At 37.9% G+C, this 22,933-nt stretch overlaps 1 long non-coding RNA gene across 1 annotated transcript in view; it reads left to right on the forward strand.

The window, feature by feature from the left end:
* The window catches only part of PWRN1 (Prader-Willi region non-protein coding RNA 1), a 29,624-nt gene continuing 7,440 nt past the window's right edge, over positions 750–22,933 (forward strand). The window contains exons 1-8 of the long non-coding RNA NR_026646.1: positions 750–914; positions 9,249–9,393; positions 10,490–10,775; positions 12,376–12,402; positions 12,625–12,721; positions 17,103–17,406; positions 17,500–17,596; positions 22,820–22,923. This is a non-coding gene — a long non-coding RNA (Prader-Willi region non-protein coding RNA 1). The remainder of the gene's footprint in view (positions 915–9,248; positions 9,394–10,489; positions 10,776–12,375; positions 12,403–12,624; positions 12,722–17,102; positions 17,407–17,499; positions 17,597–22,819; positions 22,924–22,933) is intronic.

Genomic DNA, 22,933 nt, shown 5'->3' on the forward strand with positions numbered 1-22,933 from the left:
GAATAAACTCCTTGGGCAGCTAGTGGTTAGCACCAGCTAGCACAGCACTCCCCCACCACCGCCCCGCCACGCCCCGACCGGCCCCAACAGCACATCAACTTCATCCCAGGTCCATGTTCTGCTGTACTTAGTACCCTAGTAGAGGGTAACTGAATGGCAACAAATTAAATGGTAAATTAGGCACACAAAGAGGGCAGAGGGGTTGGAGTCAGGACTGCCTAAATACTTATCCCATATGCTGTTAAGCTTTTTTTCACATAAACAACATTAAGCACCATAAGCATGGTGGCAAGCCCTTTAGATAACCTATGGAATAGTTCGCATCCTTCCTTTCCCCAGAAAAACTGGCACTGTTGTGAGAAGTGCTCCAGGGCCCTAAAAAGAGTGACCCTGCTAGAGCAGTGGAGGCTGTTTCCCTCCAGGGCTGGATCCTGGATGGAGTGGGGCTTATGCAGATCACCTTGCAGAGGAAAGAAGGAAGAGGAGAGAGAGACAGAGATGGGGGCCTAAATGTAGATATTGTACACTTTTACAGTTGCAGATTCAGACTGCACAGTCCCGGACAGATCCCCACTAAAGGTCTGGGTAAAAGTCCTGAAACCTCCTCTCAATTTCAGATGCCCTCCCGCCAATCAGCTGACTCCAAGTGGAGCAAAGCCCAGGTCTTGACATAGATACAGATAACATACACGCCCAGATGATGTCACAATCAGCTGTATCTAAACAGAGCAGAGCTCAGGTGACATCACAGAACAGGCAGAGGCAGTTCAGGGGTATTCTGGTTGCCTTACCCAGCTCTGAAGTCTGTCAGCCTCTTCAGATGTCACTTGCCATGTGGTAAGGAAGTGTAGTCAGCAGCTGGTGCAGTGGGAAGAAGAGAAAGGAAGTTCCCCAAGACAAAAACATCTCGGCAGGTAAAGAGAAATTCCCTAGAGCCCCTATCATGGGATCAGCTAGTTGGAAGCAGGTGGCATTCCTGGGTAGTTTCTTTCCCTTCCAGTGGCCAGGATGGTTAAGCCTTGGTGTGCTTGTGTGTCTGATTGCCCCATTCATTGGAAACCAGACCGATGGTTTCAGGAACTCTGAGTGTGTTGTTCCCCTCTATGTGTCCATGTGATCTCATCATTTAGCTCCCACTTATAAGAGAACATGGAGGTATTTGGTTTTCTGTTCCTGTGTTAGCTTGCTAAGAATAATGGACTGCAGCTCCATTCATGTCCCTGCAAAGACATCATCTGGTTCTTCTTTATAGCTGCGTTGTATTCCATGGTATATATGTGCCACATTTTCTTTATACAGTCTATTGTTGATGGACAATTGAGATTGATTCCATGTTTTTGCTATTGTGAATAGTGCTGCAGTGAACATATGTGTTCAGGTGTCTTTATAACAGAGTGATTTATATTCCTTTGGATATATACTTAGAAATGGGATTGTTGGGTCAAATGGAAGTTCTGTCTTTAGGTCTTTTAGGAATCACCACACTGTCTTCCACAGTGGTTAAACTAATTTACACTCCCACCAACATTGTATAAGTGTTCCTTTTTCTCCACAATCTTGCCAGTCTCTGTTATTTGTTTGACCATTTGTTATTTCTTATATTTGACTTTTTAATATAGCCATTCTGGCGGGTGTTAGATTGTATTTGATGTTGTTTTTGATTTGCATTGCTCTAGTAATGAGTGACGTTGAGAAGATTCAAATAAATGCAATCTTGGTTTTATTTGATAAAACCTTGTTGATAAAAACAACAAGGGTGATATTACCACCGACCCCACAGAAATATAAACAACCATCAGAGAATGTAATGAACACCTCCATGGACATAAACTAGAAAATCTAGAAAGAATGAAAAATTCCTGCACAAATACACCCTCCCAAGACTGAACCAGGGAGGAACTGAATCCCTAAACAGACCAAGAATGGCTCTGAAATTGAGTCAGTAATAAATAGTCTCAGTGACAAATTTTTAAAATGCCACTTAGAAAATGTACACATAATTTTGTTCTATTCAGCAAATATATTTGTAACAATCAGTTTTAGGAAGGGTGTTAAAATATTTTATTATTTTTTCTCATTTAGCTTAATATTTTAAAAATATTTTTCTGCTGGCAACTATTTGTATCTCCATTTTCATTGACATAGTCAGTATATACCCACCTTCTATTAAATAATAGTGGATCAACTGATGTGTATTATTTTATACCGAACTTTGGCACTCTTGACATAATTCATATATGAATAGTCATCCAAATGTCTTGGCCAGTGAAGATGAGATTCATCCTCCAAGGTTGAACAGGAATATTCTTACCTGAAAGCAGCAAGCCGTACAAAAACAAGAAAATGGTAGAAGAAATTCAGGAGTCCCACAAGCAGATGAGGATTCATTTAGGTCCTGAGAAGGTGCAGGGACCCCTTATAGGGGCCTGTGTACCACCCGAAGCATGGAAATAAAGGAAAATCTTGAGTCCCTTCACAGAAATTCCAGGCACCTCTCTACCTCTGAGAAGTACACGAGCCACTTCACAAGCAAGAAGTTAAAACAGTAGCAAGGAATGGAGAGTCATGGGAATATGGGGTTCCCTATGGAAACTAAAAATCAAAGCTTAGCATATGTCCCTGAGTTGTTGTTCAGAAAGCTGCGCCTCTACCAAATGGATCCACTGGCACATAGACCTCAGATAAAGGGGATCTATGAAATGAACTCTGCCATTCTTTATTCTGAATTTCTTCCTGAGGGGCCTACAGGATGTTATGTCTATGAGCCAGACATACCATTATTTTTCTGCAGATTCCAAATTTTCTGACAAATTTTACTTTCTTGAATAATCACACTCAGAAAATCTTTGAATCCCCCTATGACCTGTAAGCTTCCACTTCAAGATACTTCATCCTTTTAGTCTAAAACCAATGTGTAACCTCAATATATTAATTTATGACTATGTATTACCCCTGCCTCTGTGTCTTTAAAATCCCCTACCTGTAAGCTGTCAGTTTTGGTCTTAATTTTATTTTATCATTTTATTTTATTTTTGGGATGGAGTTTTGCTCTTGTAGCCCAGGCTGGAGTGCAGTGACTCCATCTCAGCTCACTGCAACCTCTGCCTCCCGAGTTCAAGCGATTCTCCTGCCTCAGCCTCCTGAGTAGCCAGGATTACATGCAGGTGCCACCATGCCCAGCTAATTTTTGTATCTTTAGTAGAGATGGGGTTTCCTCATGTTGGCCAGGTTGGTCTCAAACTCCTAACCTCAAGTGATCCACCCTCCTCGGCCTCCCATAGTGCCGGGATTACAGGTGTTGGCCACCATGCTTGGCCTATCTGCGTGACTTCTTGAAAGTTCTTTGATATTCTCCTGCAAACCTCCTGATGTTCTCGTGTTTCTCAGATTGTAACATGTTACATGAATTTATTCTTTCTATCCCATGCCCTCTTTTATTGATGCATTCTGTCCTTTAAGTAGTGCATTTAGAACATTGACATTTAAATTGATTATTGATATAGTTGGATTAAAAATCTACCAAATTTGTTACTATCTTTCAGTTGTTGGTTTGTCTTTGTTCCTATTTTTGTATTTCACTCATTTTCTACCTTTTGTTGTTTTGAGCACTTTATATCAGTTCATCTCATTTCTTAGCGTATCTTTTTTTTTACCTTTTTAATGGCTAATCTAGGTAATAATTTTATTCTTAATTAATCTAACAAAGAACAGCTTGTTAAAAACAATAGTAGTATGAATATATTTGATTAGATATGGTTAAATATATATCATTGTGTGTGCATACATATATACATACAAATATTTATGTGCATTTATGCTTATATAAGTAAGATGAATAACTGCAATAAGTGATGGAATGAATGTGGGTTATTCTGTTACTGTAAGGTGTTCACACTACATCTTATGTGATATATTGTTACTTAAAAGGGGGCTTGGATTAGTCAGAAACTTAAATTGCAAACTCTAGGGCAGCCTCAGTTCCTTGCTGGCTGTTGACCAGAGGCTGCATTCAGTTTCTTCCCATGTGGACTTCTCCCACGTGGCAGAATGCTCTATCAAAGCCATCAAGGCAAAGAGCTTGCTAGCAAGACAAAAAAGAAAAAAATCACAACTTTACGTGACATGATCAGTCGTGTGACATCTAATATTCTTGTATTATTGTGTTGTATGAAAGCAAGTCACATTTCATGCCCATACTCACAAGGAGAGGATTACAATACAAGGTCATGCACCCTGGCAGGTGGGGATCATTGGGCACCATCTTAAGATCTACCAGCCACATCAGGTCCTGTCTGATGTGCAACAGTTTCCCAGTCTTCGTTTATCTTGAAGAATCTGAGCCTCTAAGAAAAGAACTGGTCAGGTATTTTATAGGAATCATCACAATGTGGATTCATCTGATGATTTTTCATTATTTGAATAGAATTATAGACTTGTTTTGAACACCTTTATCTTAATTTGAAGATAATGAAAACTCAACAACATATTATTTAGAAATATAAACCTAGACATAAAAATAATATAAAAAGGAAATGACAAAGAGGAAACTGAAAATAATAGTAACCTTCATGGGGGTAAAAAATGCCATCAAACTGGGGAGCTGCACATTTGGGGCATCGACAATATTGATAATATTCAGTTTGTTAAGGTCAGCAGTTAATTTTTAAAAAAAGAAAAAAACTTTTCTATTTTATGTTAGCTTTGGACTTACAGAACAGTTGCATAGTCAGCATGGAGAGTTAATATGCAACCAACACAGAGTTTCCATCATTATTAACCTCTTATATGAGCATGGGTATTTGCCACAATTAACACACCAACATTATGCATTCTCATTCACTGATATCCACATATTAATCAGATTTCTTTTTTTCCTACTTAATGTTTGTTTTCTGTTCTAGGATCTCTTCCAGGATAACACATTTAGATATCATGTCTCCTTAAGCTTTTTTTGTCTCTGCAGTTTCTCTGAATTTCCATGTTTTTCGTGGCATTGACATCCTCCATTTAGGATTTCTATGATTGTTTTTACTAACAATTAGACTGAAGTTGTAGATGTGGAAGAAGAGACAGGGGTGAGTGTAATACTCATTATACCATGGGCATATATTCTCAAAATGCTTTTATCACTATTGATACTAATTTGAGCACCTGGATGAGGCAGTGTGGGTCCAGTTTCTCCACGGTAAAATTAATTTTCCCCCTTTCGATGTCGTACTTTTTGAAAAAAACGTCACATGCACAGCGCATACTTAACATTGGGGAATTATTCTCCACCTCCTTAGGGCAGAACTTCTATAGTATCATTTGTATTTCATTACCATAGGCAATGTATCTGTTCTCCAGCATTTATTTTACATTTATTTAATCAATTATTTATATTATGTGGAATATTGGCAAATAATAAATATTTATTTCCACTGTGATTAGACTAGTTTATTGTATTGTTCAAATTGCGCTAGTGCTGGTCATTAGAAAGTCCTTTCAGTCAGCTGCTTTACCACTTTGAAATACCCATATTATTGCTATTTGATTTGGTTTGTGTAGTGTGTTGGTTGGTTGTGTTGTTTAACTTTTTCTTACTTTCTGGCACTACGAGGTACTTAAGCTTAATAGTGTTGATTCCCTTCCCAGCCACGCCATTAACCATTTTCCCGCAAATTCCTAGTTCCTTTTTCGGTGAATGGCATTAGAAACAAAGGTCTCGGCAATGGTGTTGTCATTTCTGCTAGGCGTCTGTTAATTCTATGCTTTGTCATCTGACAGAGCAAAGGATTATATGTATGTATGTAACTCACACTCACATACGTATATGCATTTCTACAACATTTCTCCATTTATTCCTATGTAAAGTTCAGCATGAATTCTTATTAATGTTTCCAGCACCTGTGATCTAATTCAAGACCATATGAATCAATTTCCCCATTCCCACTACTTGTATGTAACCTCCCACGCTAACAGTGAGATAGTTGTCCTCCTTTATATAATCAATGAGTCCAAAATACATGTAGAGTAGTTTTAGAATTGTAAATTCATACCCCCATGGGAAAGAATGTTTCTAACTAAAGAAGACAATTTATGTACGGATACTTTGACATTTAAACTGAGAATCTCTCCTTATTTTTATATTTCTTAGGTTGTTCCCCTTGCCCCCAAGTGTCTATTTCTTTTTGACAATATTTTAAATGGAAGTGTTTTCTATGTTTTACTTTAGATTAACTGACAATATATAGAAGTAGAATTGATTTTTATTGCCCTAGTATACTAAAGTGTTAGTGAACTCATTTTTTGGTTCTAATCTTATTTTAGTGATTTCCTTAGGATTTTTTCTTATTATTATTATACTTTAAGTTTCAGGGTACATGTGCACGACGTGCAGGTTTGTTACATATGTATACATGAGACATGCTGGTGTACTGTACCTATTAACTCATCATTTAGCATTAGGTATATCTCCCAATGCTATCTCTCAAAGAGAAACCAGCATCAAAGTGAACAGGCAACCTACAGAATGGGAAAAAATTTTTGCAACCTACTCATCTGACAAAGGGCTAGTATACAGAATCCACAATGAACTCAAACAAATTTACAAGAAAAAAACAAACAACCCCATCAAAAAGTGGGTGAAGGATGTGAACAGACACTTCTCCAAAGAAGACATTTATGCAGCCAAAAAACACAAGAAAAAATGCTCATCATCACTGGCCATCAGAGAAATGCAAATCAAAACCACAATGAGATACCATCTCACACCAGTTAGAATGGCGATCTTTAAAAAATCAGGAAACAACAGGTGCTGAAGAGGATGTGGAGAAATGGGAGCACTTTTACACTGTTGGTGGGACTGTAAACTAGTTCAACCATTATGGAAGTCGGTGTGGTGATTCCTCAAGGATCTAGAACTAGAAATACCATTTGACCCAGCCATCCCATTACTGGGTATATACCCAAAGGATTATAAATCATGCTGCTATAAAGACACATGCACACGTATATTTATTGTGGCACTATTCCTTAAGATGTTCTATACACAGGATTATGTCATTCATGAATAGAGATAGCTTAACTTCATCCTTTTCATTCTAGAAGTCTTATATTTATGTTTCTTGCCTAATTACCCTGGCTGCATGTTCCAGTACAATACTGAATAAAAGTAGCAAGAGCATACATCCTTGTCCTGTTGCTAATTTTTTGAAGAAATTACTGAAACATTCATCATATGTTGTGTTGTTGTGTGAGTTTTTCATAGATGCCCTTTATCACTTAAGAAAATTTCCTTCCATGCCTAATTTGCTCAGCCTTGTTATCTTGAATGTGTTTTGGATTTTTCAACTGCTTATTCTGTATCTTTAGAGATAATTATGAAGCTTTTGTCCTTCATTCTATTAATATAGTGTATTACACTAATAGTTTTTTTATGTTTAAGAAAACATATTTCAGGGACAAATGACTTTGCTCATAATGTATATTTTTATTAGGCTACAGGTTTATTTTGATAGTATTTCCTTCAGAATTTTTGCCTCTGTTTCATGGGGCGTATTTGTCTGTAATTTTCCTTTCTTGAAATCTCTTTGTCCAGTTGTGCTATCAGGGAAAACGGGCTTCGTGCGGCGTATTGGGAAGTGTTCTCTACTCCTCTGTTTTTATAATTTTTCTTGAAAGATTAGTTAATAAGGGATTGTTATTAATTCTCAAAGGGGTTAGAATAATTCACCAGTGAAGTCATCACAACCTAGAAAAAAATTGAATCCTACCAACACTAACATGAGCTGGGAAAGGGATCCTTCCCCAGGGGAGGCTTCACTTGAAACCTCAGCCTGGGACATCTGACCCAGAGAAAATGTTAAATAATATTTATGTGTGGGTTTGAACATCTAAGCTGTTCGGTTATATGTTATACAGCGACCTATAGGTAATATGCCTGACAGTAAATGTAATTAAATTCTAGAACAGAAAATGACATCAGTGGAAAACCTGGCAAAATATTAAGAAAGTCTGTATTTCAGTTAATAGTTTTGTACCACTGTCAATTTCTGAGTTTTCATAAATACATTCTGGTTACATAAGTTGTTAACATTTCAGGAAGCTGTAGATTATGTAAAACTGTATTATCTTTGCAAGTTTCTGTAAAACTAAAATTATTTTCAAATAAAAATGTTCTTAAAATGTATTATTTAGGAACAAAAAAAAATACCAACACAGATGGACATAAACAACAAGAAACCTTGGATCAGAGGATGAGTGGAGATGCAGGGAGTGAAAGGCAAAGTACTTGCCTTATTATCCCCATTCCTACACAGGGCACCTGCTTCAGGCTTCAGGCGCCTCATCAAGCTCCAGGGACTCTCATCCATTTTCTTCTTTCCCATCATATGCTCCATTACCCAGTCACCAGTTCATACATCAGTAACCACTTTTTCAAAGAAAGGTGCCTGCCCCACATGTGTTAGAAGGCCCTATTTTCAGACACTTTGTGGTAGTGTCTTTGTGGGATCTCACTAGAGACATTTTGGAAGACATGACTTCCAGACAAGATTGAGAAACACCAGTGATGGGGAACATAAATAATATTTCTACATTAGGAGTGTTTTCTTAGTTCAGAGATTCTTTTGTTCAAGTTTCAAAGTTTTTTAAAGCCTTTGAGAATACCCTATGATAATTAAGTTCTCTTTATTATGCAGACTTCATCATGAATTCATGGCATCACACAGTCCCCTGATGCTATAACATCATGGATTTCTTTTGTCCAGTGAGAGGCCCAAAAGCTGCAGCATAGACAATATCATAGTGTAGAAGGTTCACTAGGTATGAAAATAAAAGCTTCTAATCATGGGGTTGTAGGCTAATTCCTGCTTACAGAGACCTGAAATGAACCTTTAGACACCAGGCATATGAAAGTGAGGCATGTTAGTGATACAGAGTGTGTTGTGCAGAGGTGGAAATAGCCTAATAGAAAAAAGGGAAGAAGAGCACAGTACAACATAGCCCAGCCCACCATGTAGTGATCTAAGAGATGGACACGGGCTGAGTGCTGACTTTGCATCTGTACTGGTTAAACAAAGATCCCCACAGCAGGGAGGACTGTCCCCTCATCACCCACATAGCTCCCCGTTCACAGGCCACACCACTTTACGGGAGAGCACCAGGGTTGTTCCAGGAACAATGTCCACAAAGCTTACTAAGCCATGGGACTGTGTGCTACACTCCCAAGGACATCCACGAAGTTAGGACTCTTTTTGCTTTTTCAGACCGTGATCATGGGCTACATTCTCCGTACCAGCTTCATAGCTCCAGTGAGAAAATAAATTCCTGCATCCAGGAGATGTGGAGTAAGAGATACAGCTGCCCTTGACCATATTTCTTACTTCCGAGAAGATCGTAGCAGTAATTCAGGTGCTATTATTTGGGACATTTATAATTCAATAAACCTTCTTACCCCTCTGAGCTTACAATTCACCCCATAGGAAGGAGAGCCTCATTTAAATTGATAATCTCAGGCCGGGCGCGGTTGCTAACGCCTGTAATCCCAGCACTTTGGGAGGCTGAGGCGGGCGGATCACAAGGTCAGGAGATTGAGACCATCCTGGCTAACACGGTGAAACCCTGTCTCTAATAAAATACAAAAAATTAGCCAGGCGTGGTGGTGGGCACCTGTAGTCCCAGCTACTCAGGAGGCTGAGGCAGGAGAACGGTGTGAACCCAGGAGGCCAAGCTTGCAGTGAGCTGAGATCCTGCCACTGCACTGCAGCCTGGGGGACAGAGCAGGACTGTGTCTCAAAAAAAAAATATGGACAATCTTAGTAAATGGAAGTTTGCTCGTTTCATTTCATTATAAGAGGAGTTTCTATAAGGTAAGTGACTTGTCAAATCCCATTTTTCTCTTCATTTCTATGCATACATATGGTCTGTTATGATGTGTACTGTGAAGATCATTCATCACCAAACTATTCAGGAAAAACAAAATCACCAAGTGGCAGGCCATGAAGGAGATGGAAGTAGATGTGTCTAAGGAGAGACTCATCTCTAGGTAGCAAGAGGGTCAATGAGTTCTGAATGCCCAGGGTTAAGATAGGAAAGGTGATAGACACAAAACTGTGCTACCGTGATATCCCTGGCATAAAGAACAAACACAGTGCTGAGCACCGAGCTCCCAAACTCTACCACCATAGCATGGAAGTTATGATTTCTCACAAGACAGTAAACCACCTGTGACCACATTGTACTGAGGCTGGATTGGCCACTAGAATTCTCAGAAAGATGCTATTGAAAACATCTCATTGTCTGACCACATCATGAGGCCTGAACCCAACCCCTCTCCACCCTGTACCCTGAATGGAGAATAAAGCTTAAAAGGTGCATGACTCCTATATTTGAAATTAGGGCTTTCTGTTCACTGAACTGAGCCCTCGTAGAAGCTGAAACTCTCAGTGCAAATATGCTCAACATTCTAAATTATAAATTATGTGAGTTTCTTCTTCATGCAGTACAGTCTTCAGGGAACACCAAGGCCTGTTTGATTTTCCAAGTATCAACAAGTGGAGTTGACAAGAGTGACAAGTGGTCAGAGCAAAGCATTTCATGATGACTGTAACGTGCCTGTGTCAGCAGCGACTGCTTACAGTGAGATTCACATGACCATCGTTTATGACATAGGAAGAATAAAAGGAGAGAGAGAGAGAAAGATAGGTAGTTGATCAAAATGAAGAATTGGATTTGGAAAGCAACTTCGAATAGTCTCTGCTTATATTTCTGAGATTAAGGCAAACAGTCTCAAGGTAAGTATTTCTGTCTTGAGAGAGCTGCACTCTGCAACTCTGTAAACTTTCAAGTAACACTTTACCACTTCTATCTTCCTTCTCCATGGGATCTTTGAGCCATGATTTATAAAATTACCTCTACTTCTGTGTTTCATTTTTGTAGTATCTAATATTCTCTTGAGGTCTCTCTTGGGACAATGGCTTCAAATTATAACGCTGTCTAACAGGACCCCAGGATATTGGTCCTGGATGTTGACAGTGCACCTTTCATAGGATACTTATTTATCCTGGTAGATGACTCAATGTCTAATTGTCCAATCCTTGACCAGGCATCCTTCTTACTGTAATTTGTTTTTATTTCCATAGGTTATTGGGGAACAGGTGGTTTGGGTTACATGAGTAAGTTGTTTAGTGGTGATTTGTGAGATTTTGGTGCACCCATCACCTGAGCAGTATACACTGCACCCTATTTGTAGTTTTTGATCCCTCACCCCCTTCCCACCCTTTTCTCCTGAGTTCCCAGAGTCCATTGTGTCATTCTTATGCCTTTGCATCCTCATAACTTAGCTCCCACTTATGAGTGAGATCCTACGATGTTTGGTGTTCTATTCCTGAGTTACTTCACTTAGAATAATAATCTCTAATCTCATCCAGGTTGCTGCAAAAGCCATTAACTCATTCCTTTTTATGGTTGAGTAGTAGTCCATTATATATATATATATATATACCGCAGTTTCCTTATCCATTCATTGATTGATGGGCATTGAGGTTGGATTACTGTAACCTTTTAAATACTGTCAGATGCCCTTATGGCACTTTTCAGAACCGTGACCACTACATTCATATCAACACAACCACTTTCTAGGAAAACTCTGAATTGGAAAAATGTTAAGTTCAGGTGTGTTGGTCATGAGAGACACAGAGGAGGCCACTCAATAGAGCACATGAAATAACGTAAGCAGTGTATTTCTTACAGGTGAGGTTCACTGGGCACCATCGTAGGGTCTACCTGACACATCAAGTATTCTCCAATCTGCAGATTTCTCAGTCTTCACTTATTTTTTGTGAACTTGACTTTTTTGAAAAGTACAGGTCAGATATTTTGTAGGTTTTCCCACAATATGAATTTGTCTCATGATTTCTCATGATTAAACTAGGGACATAAATACATTAAAACCATGCATGTATGTTTGAAGACCAGAAAAATAAACATTACAGATATTAGAAATATAAACATAGAGGTAAATATAATAAACACAAACTAGAGGATAACAAGTAATTCACAGTAATAACTACTTTCAGTGATTAAGGAAGATGGTGAAGCTCAGGAGATGCACTAAGGGCCATCAGACATATTGCTCATGTTGTTTTATAAGGTCAGCAGTGACTTTAAAGATAAAGAAAGCTTATAAATTTAAGAATGGTTTTAGGTTTACAGAACAGTTGTAAATGTAGTACATAGAATTTCCATATATCCCACGAAGTTTCCATTTTTATGAAATTCTTACATTAATGTAGGACATTTGTCACAACCAATCAGTTTTATAACACTATAACTACTCTTTATACTTTACTCACTTTTTTTTAGTTTTTACTTAATGTCCTGTTTCTATTCCAGAATCTCATCCAGGATACCTCATCACAGGTACATGTCATGTCTCCTTAGAATTCTCTGACTGTCACAGTTTTTCGGAGTTTCCTTATTTTTGATGCCATTAATATTACTAATGTGGGATTTGTCTGATGTTTCTCTAATGATAAGACTGGATTTGTGGGTTTAGGGGAGGAAGATCACGAGGAAAAGTGTCATTTTTATTTATTTATTTATTTATTTAATTTTGAGACAGTGTCTCACTCTCTCTCCCAGGCTGGAGTGCAGTGTCATGAGCTTGGCTCACTACAGCCTCCATCTTCTGTGCTTAAGGATCCTTCCCTCTCAACCTCCAAGGTAGCTGAGACTACAGGTATGTGCCACCATGCTGGACTAATTTATTGTTGTTGTTGTTGTTTGTTAGATTTTTGGTAGAGGCAAGGTTTCACCATGTTGCCCAGGCCAGAGTCAAACTCCTGGGCTCAAGTGATATTTATTTTGTTATAGAGATGGGGTCTTAATGTGGTGCCCAGGCTAGTCTGGGATTACAGGTGTGAGCCACTGTGCCTTGCCAAAAACTGCCATTCTCATCATATCGTACCAAGAGTACAAACTCAACAAGGGTACAAACTGTCAACCAGAGTAGACATTCATTATTGGCAGAATGTCTACAAATTCCTTTAAACCTTCACCATAAACATGTGCCTACTCTCTTCCAATTATTTCATGTGTATTAATTTATTCATTTATACATGCATCTTTTATTTATATCATTATCTAAATATGGAGATTTATTTTACAATGCGTATGTGCTATTTTTTTTTTTTTGAGACAGAGCCTTTCTCTGTTGCCCAGGCTGGAGTGCAATGGTGCGATCTCAGCTCATCGCAACCTCTGCCCCCTGGGTTCAAGCGATTCTAGTGCCTCAGTTTCCTGACTGGCTGGGATTACAGGCATGAGACACTACACCTGGCTAAGTTTTGTGTTTTTAGTAGAGACAGGGTTTCACCATGTTGGCCAGGTTGGTCTTAAACTCCATACCTCAGATGATCCACCCTCCTCGGCCTCCCAAAGTGCTGGGATTACAGGCATGAGCCACCATGCTTGGCCGCTATTTTTTTTTTTAATTGCACAAATTGTTCCAGTGTTGGCTATTGGAAGGTTTTTAAGTTGTCTCTTGTATCACTTTGAAATACCTCCATAATTAAAGTTTGATGTTGTGTGGTTGGTTGGTTTTGTTGTTGTTTGGCATTTTCTTTTGTTCAGTCACTATTATATGCTCCAGTCTATGAATTTAATTGTGCTCCAGGGTAATTTGGTAATTTTATAATTTCTACGAATGTTTCCAACACCATATGACCTAATCCAGCACCATATAAATGGATCCACTCATTCTCTCATTTGTATGTAATCTAGCACTCCCTGCAAGCAAGTTGATGTTGTTAATTTAATCATGCTACCTGAACAAGGTATATTGCTATGTAGAAAAATACAAGTTGAAACAGTCAAAATACTGTGTAATTCCATTCATATGACTCTGTAGAAAAGGAAAAAGTGTAGTGATAGTAGAGTTCAGTGGTAACAAGGGGCTTGGGAGAGATATAGGTGACATCAGTGAACTACCGAAGATTTCTTTTGGGCAGTGAAATTCCTCTTTGATACTGTAACGGTGGATACATCATAATGTTTTCCAAATCCTGAAGAACTTTGTAACACAAAGAGTGTAGCTAATTTATGCAAATTAAAAACCTTATTTAGGAGGTCACAAGTTTGCCTTTTCACAGTATTTTACCTTTTCCAACTTATATTTTTTAGCAATATGCTTTTTAGATTTTTGAAGTACACCTCATGGTTTTTAGATTTGCCTTCACCTAATTGTTGTAGGACAGGTGAGTCACACAATTGGGGCTTATCCTGAGAGGGTTATTAGCTTTGTCCAGGAAAGAATTTAAGGGCAAGTGGGTGATGTTAGACTGCAATATTTTATTGAATGGTACTGCTCCTAGCAGAGCAGGGCTAACTCTTAAGCAGTGTGTTCAGAGTTGGCAACATATAGGCCTCCTGGCAACTGTGTTTATATGCAATCAAACCCACTTTTAATTATATGCAAATTGAGGGGCAGATCAATGCAAATTGAGGCAGGAAAGGGGCAGTGACTTCTAGGTTGTCTCCATGGAAAGGGGCAGTAACTTCTGAGCTGTAGCCATGGAATTTGTAAACAGTTATGTGGTTGGTAGGAGTGTCATATGAGTGACAAATGAAGACTGCCAGGGATCACATTTACCACAATGTACACGCTTCTGTCAGTTTTTTCCCTTTATCCTGTCTGGAGCAGATCTTATTTTGGTCATCAAGGTTGTGAAACCAGAAAACAAGTCCTTCCAGTCTCCTACCTCATAATGACAAAAGACATTGAGCATAATTTCATGTGATTTTGGATATGACTATGGCTTTCTTTTGAGAGTTGGCTATTTAAGATTTTGCCATTTTTGATTGGGATATTTGCCTTTTTAATTTTGAGTTGTAAGACATTGTATATTCTGGATAATAGACCATTATCACCTATAAAATTTGCAATTTTCACATATTTTCTGCCATTCTTTGGGTGCCTCTTTATATTTGATGGTGGACTTTAAATTGCAAAAGATTTTAATTCTAATGAAGTTTAATATTTCTATATTTTCTTCTTTCCTTTGTGCTTTTCAGTGTCATATCTTAAAACATTGTTTAACCAGAGACCACAAAGATGTATTCCTGTGTTCCTTTTTATGGGTTGGCCCTGTTTAGCTCTTATATTTAGATGGATTATCATTTTGAGTCAATTATGTTTCTGGTATGAGGCAAGAGTCTAACTTGCATGTGGATATCCACTTGACCCACAAACATTTGACAAGAAAATATTGCTTCATACCTAATTTATTTGGCCACAGTATAAAAGCATTTCACCATAAATGTAGGGATTCATTTTTCAGTATTATATTCTCTACTCCATTGATCAATACATATATCCCTATACTAGTACCACAAATCTTGATTACTATTACTTTGTAGTAAGTTTTGCAATCAAGAAGCATATGTCTACTATGCAAACCCTTTTTGTCCTTCTCAAGAGTGTTTTGGCTGCTCATGATCTATATTATATATAATTTTAGGATAAACTTCTGAATTTAGGGGAAGGTAATGCCACCTGGTGTTTTGAGAGAAGTTGCATTAATTCTATAGATCCATTTGGAAAATATTGCCAACCTAACAATATGCATTCTGTAGTTTTTAGTGTACATATCTTATACTTAATTTGATAAGGTTATTCCTAAGTATTTTTGATGTGATCTTAATTGGAACGATTTTCTGAGTTTTGTTTTTAGATTGTTAATTGCTAGTATAGAGAAATTTAAAATATTTTATATATTTTATATGCTGCAAACTTCTTTGAACTCATCTTTAAATTCTAAACATATTTGATAGAGTCCTTTGGACTTTTTATACATGAGATCATGTCATTTGCAAACAGTCGGAGTTTGACTTCCTTTCCATACTAGAAACGTTATATTTATTTTTCTAAATGAATTGCCCTGTCTACATTCTCCAGTACAATGTTGCGAACAAGTGTCAACAGTGGAAATATTTGACTTCTTTCTAATATCAGAGAAATTAGTGAACCTTTCAGATTACTTATGATGATATGTGAGCTTTTCATAGATGCCCTTTGAAATGAAGAAAGTTCTCTTATCTGCCTAATTTGCTGCATGTTTTTATAATACTGAATCTGGGAATTTTCAAGTGCTTGTTGCACACCTTCTGAGACGATTGTGTAGTTTTTATTCTTTATTAATATAGTGTATGACATTAATTGTATCATATGTTGAACCAAATTTGCATTCCTGAGGTAAATACCTTTTGCCATAGTTTATAATACTTTCTACATGTTGCTGATTTCATTTGATAATATCTCGCTGCTGATTTTTGTCTCTGTATTTATAAGGCATATTGGTCTTCATTCTCCTTATTTGAAATGTCTTTGTGTAGTTGTTCAATCAGGGTAAACTAATTCATAGTATACAATGGGAAGTGATCTATTTTCTACTTCTTTATTATTATTGTATTGTTTTGAAATATTTTTGATAAATTAGTATTAATTTTAAGTGATTTTAATAACACATCAATGAGTTCCTGATGAGGGCAGGGAGGTGAATCCTAAGAACAATCATGTGAGTTTGGAAGGAGACCCTTCCCCAGCTGAGCCTCAGCCTGAGCCATCCCCTACATCTAGACCGAAGACCCAGAGAAACCGTGAGTAGTATGTGTGTGGTTCTGAGCCACTAAGGTATGTAGTAATTTGTTATGCACCAAGTAGTAAGTAATATACCTGACAGTAATTGTTAGGTGGTATTCTGGATTAGGTCCTGGAATAGATAAGTATATGATTATTAGAAAACCTGGTAAAATATGAAGGAAGTTTGTAGATCAGTTAATAGTCTTGAAAAACAGTTAAATTCTTAGTTTTCATGAATATGCTATGGTTACAATATATATTAACATTCTAGTTATCTGAATGGTATATGAAACTGTCTGTACTTACCTATGTGCATTTATGTAAATCTGCAGTTATTTCAAAATAAATATGTTTTTTAATATTATTATTATTTTTTTAAGAAAAGTAAGCAAGTAAAGACATCAGCAAAAAACTTTTGCCTCCAGATACAAGTGGGCATGTAGGGAGAGAATAGTAAACTGGCTTTTCTTTTCTTTTCTAGGCAACATTCGAAACCCAGGTGCCACTCCTTCAGGAAGGTACCATCAAGCTCCAAGGACTCATCCTCTTTCTCCTTCCCCACTACCTAGTCATTAGAGCGTCAGCATCCACTTCCTGAAAGGAAGATGCCTGTTTTTCACATATCCCAGAAAGCCTCATTTTAGGACAGCATTTAGCAGAGTGTATTCAGGATCCCACTAACCTTTTCGGAAGACATGACTTCCAGATGATATAAGGCAAGAATAAGAAATTTCAGTGACAGGGAACAGAAATCATATTTCTGCATTCAGGATCATGTTTTCTTGGTACGGGGATTTCTTCTTCAAGTAACCCAAGGTCAACTTTACCTTCAAACCTTTCAGAAAACCTGTTCTAATTTAGTTCTCTTCATTCTACAGGCTCCATCAGGAACTGTGCAGGACTGTGCACTCTGTTGATACTCACATGGTGGAATTATATTGCCCTTGGCCAACCCTAAAGCCATCAAGATAGCAGGTAAGCAGAGTACAAAAAATATTTCTAATAAGTTGCTTTAGGGCAGTCCCTGCTTCCAGAGGCCTGGGAATAAAACTTTATAACAGAGTTTTTGCAGGTGAATGCTACTGAGTGATACATACATGTTGGGCACAAGAAGAGAAATCTCAGTAGGCAAAAAAACAATAAAATAAAATAACAGTATATAGCATATCTCCAACCCTCCATGCAGTGATCTGAGAGACAGAAACAGGCTGACTGATGACTCTGCATGTGTACTGGCTGCCCACTAATTCTCCACACAGCTTCCTATTAAGAGGCCATTGCACTCTTCTTAGTAGCAGCAGAGTTGTTTTCAGGAACCATGCCTAAAAGGCCTACAAAGCCATGGAACTACATATTGAACTCCCATTGACATCCATAAATCTTGAATAGCAGGATGTCACAGGCACAGATGACAAAGTGCTGAGCACTGAGTCCCTAGACAAACTTTAACTGCATGGAAGATATGATTTCTCACAGTATCCTAAATCAACAGTTGTATAGAGGCTGGTCTGGACACCACAAGTCTACAAAAGATGCTGTTGTAAACAAACCACATTTTTAGACGACATCATGAGGCAAACCCAGTGCTCTGTCTCCACACTCTAACCTGATAAGAAGATTGAGTTCAAGGAAGGAATGTCTCATATATGTAATGACATGACTTTGTGTTTACTTAATTCAACCTTCCCGGAGTCAAAAACTCCAGGTGAAATTTCAGTCAACCCCCTTAACTGTGACTGTATGAGTTTTTTTATCACTCAGTGTACTCATGAGGGGACACCGAAACCAATTCCAATATCCAAGTACCCAAAGTAGAGTTGACCAGAGTAGCAAGGGGACGGATCAAAATATCTTATAAAGACCATTATGCATTCACTTCTACAGTGACTAATCATAAGGTGCTTTCTACGATCACCAGCCATGTGATTAAAAGGACAAATGTGAATGAAGAAAAAGATACACAAATGTTACACCTAAAATAATGGAATCTGTAATGAAGTTTACAGGAAGCGTTGCTCATATTTCTAAGATTAAAGCTTAAAGTTTCAAAATACAGCTTTTTCCAGGTCTTTAGAGAGCTACCACGCCAGTGAATTTTTCAAGTAGCTCTTTACAATTTTCATCTCTGTCTTCAATGGATTTCTTAAACCATGGTTCATAGAACTATATTTCCATACGTGACATAAGAATTCTAGTACTCCACTAACAACTCTAATGTGTCTAAAATTATAAATGCAGTTTATAACACCTCTCTGGACACTCACTTTAATTGGAAGTGGACAAACTGGACTTCCCTAATGGAGGACAGCGGTGAAGCTTCCAGGTAGAATATAAATGCAGTTTATAAATTTATGTGATAAGATTTAAGCATATTTCCTCAATAACAAACAAGAGTATAGCCAATGAGCCACCATAATTTAACACTGAGAAATGAGCAGTCACAGAGAACACAGTGTATTCCATTCATCGTAGAGTGCACATTTTCACATCTATCAAATGCAGATGCATCTTAAATTTGAAAGTGTTAAAACACTATTGATGAGAAGGCAGTCATAAAGTGATTGTCCTCATTTACCTGTGTATGAGCTTGGTCTGCAAACCTCCTGTCGACGTTTTTGGGTGATATCATCAGCATCAGCATCAAATCTTGCATAGGAGGTTTCAGAAGGTTGAAAATAGAAACTCGCAGGAGCAACATAGGAATATCACAGGAAATGCAGCATCACCAAAGCTTCAGATTAGCACAAATGATGATAACATGGGTAACACCATGAGCAAGATGAATTGAAGAGTGATTCAGGAGAGTTGGATCTGAATGGGAGAAAATTTAGGAAAACCTTTGTTGGTGTATTTTCCTTATATGTTCCATCCCATGTAATCATAGGAGTGACAAAAGACGAGAAATATCCACATATATATGTTTTGAAAACAGCTTTTTTTCCAGTAATTATAATATAATGATGTTATTAGAGGAGGTCTGTCTTTGTTGCCTAGGCTGCTCTAGAATTCCTGGCCTTAAGCAATCCACCCTCCTTAGTCTCCCAAAGCATAGGAATTGCAAGCATGATCCATTGTGCCTGGCCCAGGGCCTGTTCTTTTAACCACTGAGCTGCTCTATAATGAGGTGAAAGAAGTTCAGAGCTGCATGCCTTGCACCTACAGCAATCCTTTCAGCTGTACCTTGAATGAGGCTGTGGATATACAACTTTAGAGCGTTGCCATTGACTCTGAAATCTCTACGTCCTTGTGAATCTTAGGCAGTCTCCCAACACCACTACCCACTTTATGTATTCAGTATCTTTGACAACAGCCAATGTTGTTGAAAACCTGGAGAGGCAGCCTTGGCTCCCTCCTGCCCTGCTGTAGATGATCCTGTGAACAGGGTCCCCCTCCAGACCATGCCCAACAGAGGCAGGTTCACAGGGGAGCCTCTGAGCTCAGAGCCTCTCTGGGGGCTCTGCATGCACAAGGACAGCAGCTCCCTGCCTTGGTTGTGGGTTGAGGTAGGGAATTCAAGTCTTTTAAAAAAGGCTGAGTTTGTTCAAAAATGATTCTGCTTGCTTACCAATGACACCTTAAGACTTTAGATTTTACGTTGTGATATTTCTCCTTGATTTTGATTTAATTTGTTGTGCAAATGTCTTAAACACTTGTGTATAAATATTCTCTTTTTTTGGTCATGTAAATATCATCTAAAACCAAATATTTATTTTTGTATTGTAGATTTAAGGCCTTTATTTCTCTATTTTAAAAATGCATTCATAATTATTTTTCAATGAACCATATCAATTATTTTCATCTTTACTTCTATTGCTCTTTCATAAATTGAATGTTAATATCACTTTATTAGAAATGACAGATGATACACATTCTATTTTATGATTTTCCAGAAATTTTCTCTTAAATAGCTCTGGTTAAAAAGAAGGACAGAAACTATTCTGTAAGCCACAAGGCAAAATTGTCCCACATTAAGAAGATCTTCTTATGCTTAAAAAGATCTGTCAAACTTTCTATTCTATGGCTTAGTTTGCTGTACATGTGAAAGGTCAACAAGGTATTGATTTGTGTGGCAGGAAAGTTAGACTTTACATCTGAATGCAAGGAGCAACCTCTTCTTAACCGTGCAGGTGTGAACTTCATGATGTTTCATTTTCTCCTTGTACAAAAGATTTAGACATTGACTGGACTCCATAATTCCTTCCACTTCACCTCCATGTACGTGTACTTGACAGTTCTCTGTATGGATCACCCATTCTATTAGATTCTATTAGATATGAATTATTTTCTTATTTTTGATGAGTGATTATTAAATTCATTTTTAGTTCTCAGAGATGTAAAAAATACCAGTTAGAAAATGTGTACCTCATGTGCTGTAATCAGAAAATGTTTTTGTGCCATTAGCTTACAAAAAGGAATTTCAATCTTTTATTTATTATCATTTTCATCCGGCTTAATAGTCTCAAAACGTTTTCATGCTTGTGAATTTTTTAGATTTTACTTTTGTTGTCTTAGTCAAAACTTAGGCAAAGATTGGAGACGTTTGTTCAAGACGTGTGAGACATGAGCAATCAACAGAGGAAAAACATTGATATTCTATCGGGACTTTTGTTCTGTATTAACAGATGGGCACTTGTTCTGCTAGGTGTGGCTGTAGTCAGGGTCTATGGGCTTTAATAGCATAAACAGAAAATTTCATTTACAGATCCTGGTTAAAAAAATAGAAAGAAGTGTCCCTCATCTGTTATATTATAGTCAGGTACCATTGTGCTACAGAATGTAGGTTGGGCAGTGGCCACTTGTAAAATCAAATAATAAGTCAAAGGGTTGGAAAAAGAACGTGACTTTATTCCGGATTTTAGCAAGGGGAAGGGCCAGTTTCATATCTCAAGGAACCACTTCAGTTTTCTGGGCAGAAAGCAGGATTGTAAGGAGAAATTTTGGTATACAGGGCATGCAGAAGGGGCATGGAGGTGCAGGGTCTACGTGACTTGCTAGAGGACTTATCTGTAATCGTGGGTCATCTGTTAGCCTGGCCAGCATCATTAAAGACAGAGTTGGGTTGTGGATTAACTGATGTCTTGAGACAATCTCCTTGTGGGGGAGAATTCTGAAGCATGCCTGTTTTTGTTCAACATTTTGTAATTTCTAAGCAAGCACATACTTAGATAAGCTGGCAATGCTTGCTGGTTATCTCCCTGGTGGAAAGGATGGAGGGAAAAAGGTTACATTTGCATTTCTAAGGAGCTAAGTAACAGGTGAACATAGAGGGGAAAAAAAGACAAAGATAATTTTTAGAAAAATGGGGTACTCAGTTACAATTTAACTTAATTTCACTGCATGTAGAGAGTAACCCTATACTATATAGCCTGTGGTATGTACGTAGTGAAAAGCAGAGAAAAATATTGTTCAAATGTTAAAGAAACTGGAGATTTTTAAGGAAAACCAATAGAGGTGGAAAGCTTTATTGGTTTCTCCTCCTTTAGATGATGAACATGCTCTACTCTTGTAAGTGGATAGCTATATTTTAATTATTTCATAATGCAGTGATTTTATGAGCAACAACTAACAGGATAACATAGGAAAGGCAGGTTGGTGTCCACGTAGGGTGACTGAATCTACTTAACACATCATTTGCTTCATTTCTAAGCAATAGCCATCCCTTCATCTTTGGACTTGTTGCCAGATCACTGAGTCATTAAAAGCTTTGTCTTTTTGCAGTAGGAAATTAGATGAAAGGGTGAAGGTGAAGTTCATTCAAATTACTTCTCTTTGTATCTTTGCTTTGTGTTTCTATACCACTCCTGTACTCCTGTGAACTGTGTCTCAGTGGAGTAATGATGGCACCATAGTCCAGCCTGCATGCGTGTTGGCATGAGTGCTCTCTCCTATTCCTACCACTGCACGTGGAGAATGGCTTCATGAAATTCAGCCACTTTGTTCCCCAGACTCTCAGTTCCATCTTCTCAACTCAGGGTGTTTTCCAGAGTCCGTGCTACACCATATCCTGGAAATTCTCCCCAGGCAGTAACCTGAGGCAATAGTAACCCTCATATCATTGTTTCACATCTCTCAGATGTCATTGTTAGATGTGCACTGTCTTGCAGTCCATCATTCCAGAAAGATTGTCCATTTTTACATGTGATAAGCCATATCTAATCCCAATAAATTTTTCCACAATGTTTTGTTTCATTCTTCCAGCAACTACTCTATCATTACTGTACCACCACCTGTATGGATCTCGTTGCCCATATGAAACTGAGTAAGGAACAATGTGCATCACACTCACAGAGAAAGATGGACAAGTGAGCTGGC

This window comes from Homo sapiens, chromosome 15, assembly GCF_000001405.40.
Source record: "Homo sapiens chromosome 15, GRCh38.p14 Primary Assembly".
In the NCBI taxonomy this organism is placed as follows: Eukaryota; Metazoa; Chordata; class Mammalia; order Primates; family Hominidae; genus Homo; species Homo sapiens.